Source organism: Homo sapiens, chromosome 11 (assembly GCF_000001405.40).
Source record: "Homo sapiens chromosome 11, GRCh38.p14 Primary Assembly".
NCBI lineage: Eukaryota > Metazoa > Chordata > Mammalia > Primates > Hominidae > Homo > Homo sapiens.
This window is the reverse complement of record NC_000011.10, coordinates 88,492,304-88,503,629: the sequence shown is the minus strand read 5'-3', so window position 1 is coordinate 88,503,629 and position 11,326 is coordinate 88,492,304.

The following is an 11,326-nucleotide window of genomic DNA, read 5'->3' as shown; positions in this document are numbered from 1 at the left end:
AGCCAGGATCTCTTACCTGTCACCAACTGACTTTGGATAAATCACTCTGATTTCTCTACAACTTGTTCCTCTTGCTTTAAATGCAGAAGTGAGTTACAATAATCTGTGAAGTTTCTATCATTTCAACATTCCTGATAAATGCTCAATAGTAGCTATTATTAGTGTCAATGTAGTATTTAGTATACAGTTAATATTCAGCAGGAAGCTTAAATTTGTTATATCAATGTTATTTGTGGAGCTTAACAAGTTCCTGTCCAACTTAAAGCATATATCCTGGAGGAAACCTATTGAGGTTTGAACTCATATGCAACCTTGGAACTGTCTATCAAGGACAACTTAGTAAATTGATATTGAACACCACAGAGAGAATGCTTTTCCTCTGTTATAATTGCTGCTGAATGCTGGCCAAGTTTTTGGTTATGCTGTACATGAATGATCAGTTTTAGAACATAAACAATTTGCAAATATTTACTTTGTATGATAGCTAGGCAGAAAGGTAGGTAAGCACATAGATAGGCAGAATTATATTAATGAAGTTATCTCCTTAAGCAAAAGCTTGGTATTTACATTTTCTCTCACAGTATTTTAAAACTCAGAATCAGTTATTACATCTCACTCTGTTTATTACTTTTAGGTTATTATGTTAGTAAATAAGTTCTATGAAGAGAATGTTTAAACTCATCTTCTCCAGCCACTCTTAGAATCCTGAACCAAAAGTTTCCAGGAACACTTAACCTCCACTAGAATAAATGTTTTAAATTACTGTTACACCAGGACAAAGACATTTATTTTTGCCAGGACATAAGTCTCTTTGAGGTATGATCTATATACAGGATACCTATGTGATATACATATCAGACACTTTGGCTTATTTATGTATAGCTTGTATTTTTATTCATTGACATTAAAAATAAAAATTTTCATACTATCAGATTTCTATGATGAGATAGATGTTATATTTTAAATTATACAAATTCTATGTCCGTGAAAACCACATAATAAATTGTGGCTTTTCTGAACTGCTGAATAGTAATAGGTGATTCATAAAAGTTCTTAGAGTCTTAAAAGTTTGAAAAATGTAGTAATTCCAAATTAAATGGCTATCTTCACTTCGGAAGTTACCAATTTATAGTATTCTTTTTTTTTTTTTTTGAGACGGAGTCTCGCTTTGTAGCCCAGGCTGGAGTGCAGTGGCGTGCAGTGGCGCGATCTCGGCTCACTGCAAGCTCCGCCTCCCGGGTTCACACCATTCTCCCTCCTCAGCCTCCCAAGAAGCTGGGACTATAGGCGCCCACCACATCGCCGGCTAATTTTTTGTATTTTTAGTAGAGACGGGGTTTCACCATTCGCAGGATGGTCTCGATCTACTGACCTTGTGATCCGCCCGCCTCGGCCTCCCAAAGTGCTGGGATTACAGGCGTGAGCCACCGTGCCCGGCCCAATTTATAGTATTCTAATATCCATTAACTTTGCTAATGAAGCTGTCTCCTCAGAGTAGAGTTTCATGAAAAGAATTTTGGAAATGCTATGATATAAAAGTTATAATTTATACACACTTTTTCTTTTAGTTTTCAAAATTCATTGCCATTTCCATGATGATCTCCTTAGGCCTTTAGAGAAGTAAACACAGATTGATAGAGTTATAACATTGTCTTCAGGAGCCATTTTACTGAACCATTGGAAGTCTTGCTCAATTTTATTATTTGTTCTCTTCCCATTTTTTGATTTCTTAGACCTCTGTCAGCACATTTACTTTACTTTCACGGGTCAAGCTGAGGGATTTCTTTTACAATTTATGTTCTTTCATTTTTGTTCAAAACGTTTTGAACCAAATGAAATTAAGTTTCCTTAACTTCAACAGCCTCAGATGAAGCAATATGTGAGATACAGCATTAATAGATGTTGCCTAACCAGTGAAATGTATTTCAAAAGCAGTAGAAGTCTATCAGCTTATTATCCAGAAGCTATTTTTAGAAACTCTTTCTAACTTAAAAACATAAGAGCAAAACTACATGAACACATCTATAACACATACCACATAAATGCATTTCTACTCTTGCATATTTAAGATAATGACTTTAGCCCTTTACTTCCCTATATGTGTGGTACTCTCTATCATATTTTCTGAAGAGCTTAAATCCCATCATTAGCCCTAATAATTCATCTTACTCTTCAAAGAGGAATGAAACAATCTAAATGTATACAGAGAAAAAAAGATCTTGTTTTGGGAAGACAAGTACCCACTCTAATAACCCGAGACAACTTAGCAACAAAATTAGGAGAACATCCTAGCTAGTTCTATCCAGTCAGTATGAAAGAAGCCAGTGGAAATGCTTTCTTATTCTTTGTATGGCTATAACAAAAAAGGACCAAAGTTGGTCGGGTGACCCATCCCAGCACTTTGGGAGGCCAAAGCAGGCGGATTACTTGAGCCCAGAAATTCAAGTTCAGCCTTGGCCACATGGTGAAACCCTGCCTCTACAAAAAATACAAAACTTAGCTGAGCCGAGATCATGAAACTCTGTCTCAAACAACAACAACAACAGCAACAAATAGAATGAAAGAAAAAGAAAGACAAGCACAAAAGTCAGATTCTAAAGAATAAGACGAAGATACAACCATTTCTGATTGACAAAGCACAGGTCAGGAGCGCAAGAAAAATGTGAGTGATGACCACAGGGCCAACAAACAGACTTAAATGCCCAAATAAATTAAAGAAAGTTAAGAAGCACTCAGAAAAAGAATAATGCAACCATGTCCTTAAGTGATGGTATTTGCTGAACCAGCACCATCAGTTAACCAGTTCCGATATATACAAAGCATTTAAAGGAGCAAATGATAAACAAAGGCAGGTGTAAGAATATTAATGTCCAATAAGAAATAATTAAAAATAAAAGCCATTAAAAGGATTAAAAGAAATATTTAAAATTGATAAAAAATCTACACAGAAGGTAGAACAGTGATGAACCTATATGTGCTTAAAAATAGGGCTTCAAAGCCTAATAAACAAAGATTATTGGAAACACACGAGGAAAAAAAATCCACAATCACAATGACTTGCTTTAATATATTTAACTGGCAAATACATCAAGAAGGCAAAAGAAAAAAAAAAATCTATGTAATTAAGTAACACAAATAGCAAGAATAATCAAACACATCTACTTAGAGGTTTGTTCCTATTAACAGAGGACAGACATTCTCTTTCTCATCATTAAAACATTCATAAATATTAACCTTGGATTAAACCAGGAAGAAAATTTTAACAAATTCCAGGAAACGAAAATTAAACAGGCTACATTCACTGACTAAAAGAAATCTTAAATTTAAAACAAAAGTTATCCAAAAGAAATACGTTCACTTACAATCTCTCTTTTAAGATAGCTTTCTGGAATGAAGAGAAAAACTTAACTAAAATCACATCCTGTTTATAAATGAACATTGGTGACAGTTCTGTATATTAAAATCTATAGAACAGCCAGAGTACTCAAAAAATGTTTTATCATAAATGTATATGTTTTTAAGAAGACTGAAAATAAACATTCAACTGAAGATGTTGTAAAATAAATAAAAATCAAATACAATACAAATAACTAATATTGAACAAATGAAAGTAATACAAGCAAACATTTTAAAAAATTAAAAGTAACCATTAAAACCAAAGTCATCGACTGGATAAAGAAAATGTGGCAATGTACAACATGGAATACAATGCAGCCATAAAAAAGGATGAGTTCATGTCCTTTGCAGGGACATGGATGACAGTGGAAACCATCATCTCAGCAAACTATCACAAGAACAGAAAACTAAACACCACATGTTCTCACTCATAATTGGAAGTTGAATAATGAGATCACATTGACAGAGGGAGGGAAACATCACACACCAGGGCCTGTCAGGAGGTGGGGGACTAGGAGAGGGATAGCATTAGGAGAAATACCTAATGTAGATGACAGGTTGATGGATACAGCAAACCACCATGACCCATGTATACCTACGTAACAAACCTGCACGTTCTGCACATGTACCCCAGAACTTAAAGTATAATAAAAAAGAAAAAAAAAAAGATTAGACCCAAGTAACCATGATGGCTCTCCTTCCCTTTTGATGGAAATAAAAATTAGGGCAAACAATTTCGGTCTCTGAAATAAACGTTATAAAAACTAAAACAAAATGAAATAATGTCCAAACACAATTAAGGCTCAGTAATAATAATTCAGTGTGAGAAAAATTATTGATGTATTTATCACATGAAAATACACAAGCACCTCAATAGATTTGGAAGGGAAAAAATAAATTTGATGCAATTTAAAAAAAAAAGTCATCTGTTTGAAAAGACCCACATGTTAACATTCATCAAATCTAATTGAGTAAAAGAAAACACAAATTATAAACATAAACAAAATTAGTAATAAAAAATATATACATAGAAATATAGACATATCAAATTTCTAAGTAGAAGTTTATGCTAATACATTTGAAAATATAGGTAAAATGAATATTATTCTAAAAAAAATAATTACCAAACTGAAATAAAAGTAAAAAAAACCCTAGACCATAATGATAGAATATTGTAAAAGAGAATTTTAAAATATCTTACTCTAAAAAGTACAAGCCTAAATGTTTTACAGGTAAATTACACCATAACATATAAATATAGAAGATGAAAAAATATGGAAATATTTATAGCTTATTCATGAGGCTTTCATAACTTTGGCACACAAATCAGACAAATATGGAAATAAAAGGAAATTATAGTCAAATCTCATTTAATCAAATTTCATTTGATCAAATATCAAATATATATCATTATTTTGTAAAATACTAAAGTATTTATATATAACACTATAAAACCTAATAAACTATTAAATACTTTATGAAGGAGTATATTTTGCCCTTAGATTGTAAGTTTTATTCAAAACTAGAAAAATCTATGAATATGGTTTACTCCATTAACATATTAAACAGAAAATGTAATATATAATATAAAAACATTTGATAAAATCCAACACTAATTTCTGACTAAAACAAAATAAATTAGCAACTAAAACTAAAAGAAAACTTTCTGAAGGTAGGAAAAAAAATCAGACACCTATAGCAAATATAATACTAATAACAAAATATTAGAAGAATTCCCATTAAATCAGGTGTAAAAGAAGTATGTCATATATGTACAATTTCTAAAGTGAATATGTAAGCTTTGTCCAAAACAGGTCATTTCTGAGAGTTAAATAAAGTGTTAGTGGTATTTGGAGAATGGCTTTACCTGGGAAAACTGCTTATATCTGGACTCTTTTGAACAAACTAGGACATAAGCCCACTTTATTACTATTCAATAAATATTTAACCTTTTAGATAAAACTCTGTGAAGTGCCTAGCATAGCATGGAACATACAGTATGTTTTTTCAATGCTAGCTGCTTTAGTAGTAATACTACTAGTGGTAGTAGTAGTAGTAGTGGTAATAGTAGCAGTGTTAGAAGTTTAGATCTAACTAATAAAATATTTAAAATGTAAAACATAAAACACGAGTGGCAATATTCCCATGCAAAATTAGTTATTGCTGCTTATATTCTTGTGTATATATGTATCTTTCCCTAACAATTGAAACACACAAAAAAATACTAATCACTCATATTGTTGCAACAAATATCAGAAGTAAATATAAGAAATGAGTTGATATAGCCATTTACAACCAGATTAGATTAAATAAAAAAGTGAATGAAATTGTTTCTGCTTAGTAAGTAATGAAAATACATAAAGAATACTTAATTACAAAAAAAAATGGGAAATGTGGCAAAGACCTGGTGTTCGAATCAAAATACTTAAAACTGGAGAGAGAGAAAGAAAGAAACTTTAGAAGAATATAACCTGCATTATATATGACTTTAGTGAAGAGACTTCTTCAGTTCTGGAGCCGCCTTCATTCAGGTAAGCCCCCTTCTGTCCATCTTTTTCTTTTATAAGTTAAAACAACTGTCATACTTAGATCAGTGTTACCAAAAATTTCAGTTATTCTAAAACTTTAACACCATTAAGGCAGTATAAACATACATTTTAACTTCTTTTTTTTTTTATTGTGGTAAGAACATTTAATATGAGATCTACCCTTGTGAACATTTTTAACTACACAATACATTATTGTTAACTACAGACACAATGTTTTACAGCAGATCTCTACAATTTACTCAACTGCATAACTGAAACTTTGTACCCTTTGATTAGCAGCTCCTCCTTTCCCCCTAACCCTTGCTCCTGGCAACCACCATTCTACTCTTTTAGCCTGTGAATTTGACTGTCTTAGATACCTCATATAAGCAGAATCATGCAGCATTCATCCTTCCATGACTGGCTTATTTCACTCAACATAATTTCTTCCAGGTTCATCCATGTTGTCACATATGAAAGATTTCTTTTTTTTCAATAGTATTATTGCTGTATATTACAATAATAATCCATTGTATGTATATACTTTATTCATACACTGATGGGCATTTAGGTTGTTTCCACATCCTAGCTATTGTGAATATATATATATATTTAGATAACTATATTTATATAACCAAACCAGTGGTTTGGTTATTTTATATATACTCCTTAATTTATATAATTAAATATAATATACTTCTGATTTGGTTGTATAACCAAACCAGCGGTCTGGTGGAACTGAAGTACAGAGATCTTATAAGATCTATATATCCACATGTAGATATATATATATCTATATAATATATATAGATATATATTATTTATATAGATATATATATCTATATTTATATAAATATATAATATATACACACATGCACATATCCACATATATCAATGAATAAAGATAATATAGGAGCAAATGTTATGTAATATGTAATTGTTATATATATAGATCAAAAATAAATTTTTAAGCTTAAAGTTACTTCTTAATCATTACTACCTAAAAATTATGACCTTTTTAATCCTAAGGGATGTTGTGAGATTACATATCTCTATGAAAGAGGTTCACTAATCAAAGACTGAATAATACTTTTTTATATTATCCTTATAGTTAATTTTAGCTTAAAAATCACTGAACTTTATAATAGAAATGGAAGCTTTAAATTATATCTACCTGAGCAATAATTTTTCACAAGTGAAAAACAGACATTCCATGTTGTAGTTGAGATAAGCTTGATCAATGAATACCTCAATCCTAGCTCTGGCTGGCTCAAAGGCAAAGTACAGAGCCAGTTTCACTAATACTCTTACCGCAAACTACCCCATTAAACTTGGGGACTCAACATCACTCTTAAGCAAGCTATTTGTTGGTATAACACTCTCCAAACTTTTCCTTCTTGAAAAGTATGCAGCTGGTCAGCAGAAGACCTGGGATTCAAAACTATCTCAGACTCCAAGATCCATCAATCATTCTAGCACATCTTACATCATGAGACATAAATAAGATGCTTCCCTCCAAAACAGCCCACATCTGAATCCTGCGCCTCATTCTATAGCCAGGAAAGAGATAGGACCTTAAGGAGAAGAGCAGGCATAAGTGTTCTGGTGTTCACGGGGCATAGAGAAGGACAAAGTGGTGGTATTTCATCCAGCAGAACACAGAGCACTTTGCCCTGGGGCATGCCATCACCTGAAGATAAGGAGCCATTGCAACAACTAAGAGGCACCCAGACTAGTTGTTGAGGGTTATCTAGGGAAGTTTTCTAGAGAAGGTGATGCTAGAGGTAGGATTGAGGGACTACTACCCACAGGATATTCTGGACAGTGGAAACAGCATGTACAAAGACATGAGTCTGAAATGCAACTATCTGTAATAAACAACCAGTGGTTTGGTGGAATTGAAGTACAGAGTTCTTATAAATATTAGGAAAACAGCAAAAACAGGTTAAAAAAATTTAAGGGCTTATATGCTTCACCAAGAAAGTTAGACTTTATCTTTAAAGTGATAAGGAGACTTCAAAGGGTTTTAAGAGTACATTTGCATGTGTAAATTTTTTTTTCTAAAATATGATTTTGATAGTCATGAAAACAAAGAAATAGTGGATGAGAAGTCAGGCCAATGTAGATGATAATCTACTGGACTTGGGAACTAATCAGAGCAAGAATTGTGCAGATGGTGAAGAAGCAGTGAATTTAGAAAATTTTCTGAATGAGGATTAATATAAATTGATATAAAAAGAGTGAGATGGAGTGGTCCAAGATGCCACCAGCTGTCTTTTGACTAGCAGAGAATAGCATCAATTGCTGAGCTGAGGAGCAGGTTTGTGATGAGTTCTATATTGGATTACAGAGTTGAGATGACTGTAAAACTACAGTCAATATGCCCAGTAAACAGTGGATAAAGGGAGTAGATCTCAGGAAAGAGAAAGCGAATGAGCAGGAAACAGCACACCCAAAATGATCATTGAAAATGTGTTAATGGATACACTAAAATTACAAAGACAGGAGCAGGGTTAGGAAATTAACTAGGGATTAGCAGAACTAGTAACAATGTGAAGTTACCATGATCCCCAGCCCTGAATGGGTAAGGGAAGAATTTACTTAATGGATAAGAGCTGCAGCTATAGGAGAGGGCCACCTAAAGGCGCTGTGGTCTTGGAACTGGGAAATGTCATATTCCCTGTCTTCAAAGTTGCCCTCACATCTCAGATGGGCTGCCTAGAAGTATGGCAGTTGAGTGCATGAGATATGCTTACCCAGGAGAGGGTAGTCATTAAACTCTCATAGCTTGTTCCTTGTATCAGCCTAGGAGACTGCCCATTACCAATACTTTAATCAGTCACTCTTGGATCGATGCAGTATTATATGTTTTAAGTAACACTGACAACTGTATGTCTATGTAATCCTAATTTCCTGATAACCAGGAAAATCAGTGTTTTAGTCCATTCTTACACTGTTATAAATAAATACCTAAGACTGGGTAATTTATAAAGAAAAAGGGTTGAATTGGCTGATGGTTCTGCAGGCTGTACAGGAAGCATAGTTGGGGAGGCCTCAGGAAACTTACAACCATGGCGGAAGGCAAGGGGGAAGCAGGCTCATTTTACATGGCCGGAACAGGAGAAAGAGAGAGAAGGGGGAGGTGCTACACACTTTTAAGTGACCAGATCTCACAGTAACTTACTCACTATCACAAGAACAGCACCAAAGGGGAAATCCACACCCATGATCCAATCACTTCCCACCAGGCCCCACCTCCAACACTGGGGATTACAATTTGGCCTGAGATTTGTGCGGGACACAGACCCAAACCGTATCTGTAAAACCTACAAATCATGAAAATTAGGAAAGACCATGGAGACCACCTACCACAGCTTATCATTTCCATATCTCTGAATATTCGTGTAACTAGGAACTAACACTGTGATGGGGACACATGAAACCAGAGAATAAACACAATCATAAATTAAGGCATTCATTGTATATTAAACTTACAAATTTAAAAAAACCCTATCATTGTGCTTAGCAATATTGTGTCTGAATATGTATTTGTTTAATTTTCATGTCTTTTTTAGTTAGAGATGAGTTTGCAGAGAGTACTAATTTGCCCAATGCCACCATTAATTCATAAAAGAGTGACGACCAGGAAGAAGGATTGAGCACCTGCTATGAGCCTGTAACTCGAAATGGAAGACATAAAATGTCATTTTTCTCATGCAAAAGCCATTGTGGATTAGACTGGTGCCCATTTCCTAGCTCTCATTCTAAAGGCTTTCTGCTCCAGCATGCTGTTTCTCTTTGGTTTGGCACCCTGCTTGTTCAATGTATAATTTCATTAGCAGGAAAGCCCACAGAGATATTTACATCTAATTTGCCCTCTTGCTGTAGCCTTTCTCCTGCTTGCCATGCTGACAGGTGGCTTGAAAACCGTAAATGGATAGGATTCTAGAGAGGCAGAACAGAGCAGCTGGCAAGCCAAGGTCAGGATGACATCCAGGTTCAAATGATTCTACAAAATTGGAATCAGAATTGGAACTCTTTCTTCCTTCCAAATTCTTTCCTGGAGAGAGTAATTCAGGATGGTCCCAAATAAGTTCTCACTTTTTTAAAATAAAGAATATCATGCGCTCATGCAATTGCCAGTTTGCAAACATTTGCAGCAAAGGAGTGAGACAGGGTATAGAGCAGCTTTTCTCTCAGCATTCTGCAGAGATGAGTCTGATACACTTCTGGCTCAGAAGCCCTGGCCAAGAGATTGTAGCCACTGCTAACATCATCTATCTGTGTGGACAATATGCTAAAAATCCATTCTTCCAACAGATAGGCAATGTTGCATGGGATAATGTCTAAGTGAAAATGGTTGCTTTTCAAGATTATACCTTTCTTTCCCTACTCAGTCCACTTTGATTAATTTATTTTAACTCAATCTCACCATCACATGCCCCTCTGCTGCTCAGGAAGGACATGCATAGCATCAGAGGCATTCAGAGTGCTAAGAGACATGCCGTTATCTGAACCAGGCAAATAACTCAATATAAATTCTCCTTGCCATGCATCTAGCCTTGACTGAAGTGACAAACTGTATCTGGACAGAGAATGCACAGAGAGGTAGAAGAGGGAAAGGAGGGGCTCAGCAAGCTTTTAGATAGCATTTTTATTTTATTATTATTTTATTATTATTATTATTATTTTTTTTTTTTTTTTGAGACAGAGTCTTGCCCTGTTGCCCAGGCTGGAGTGCAGTGGCGCGATCTTGGCTCACTGCAACCTCCGCCTCCCAGGTTCAAATGATTCTCCTGCCTCAGCCTCCCGAATAGCTGGGATTACATGTGCCCGCCAACACGCCCAGCTAATTTTTGTATTTTTAGTAGAGACGAGGTTTCACTATGTTGGCCTGGCTGATCTCAAACTCCTGACCTCATGATCTGCCCTCCTCAGCCTCCCAAAGTGCTGGGATTACAGGCGTGAGCCACCGTGCCCAGCTGATAGCATTTTTATTTTAAAGTTTTAAATAGGTTTGTGAATTCTAGTCAAAATTATTGGTAAATGAAATAAAGAGAAGGTTGACCTAGGTTTTCCAGAGGACTAAGAATGGGAAGGTTCATACAAAAAGCAATGGATTTGTAATCTCCCCAGGTCTGCTTCTTACTAACATTCTCAGAATCCTTACCTTACCAAAGGTAATCCTTACCAAATCCTTACAAAATCCTTACCAAAGAAGGAAGGCCTTCTTTGCAAGATAAATGGTGTCTGAAGCAAAATAATGCTTATGATCAATGTCATATGTTAGTTGTTAATTATTATTAATCTCCATTATAATGAGCTCCATTCTAACTAAGATTTGCATTAGCTTTTTGTTAGGAATGTGATCATATATCCAGTATGTTCGAATGCTAAAACTT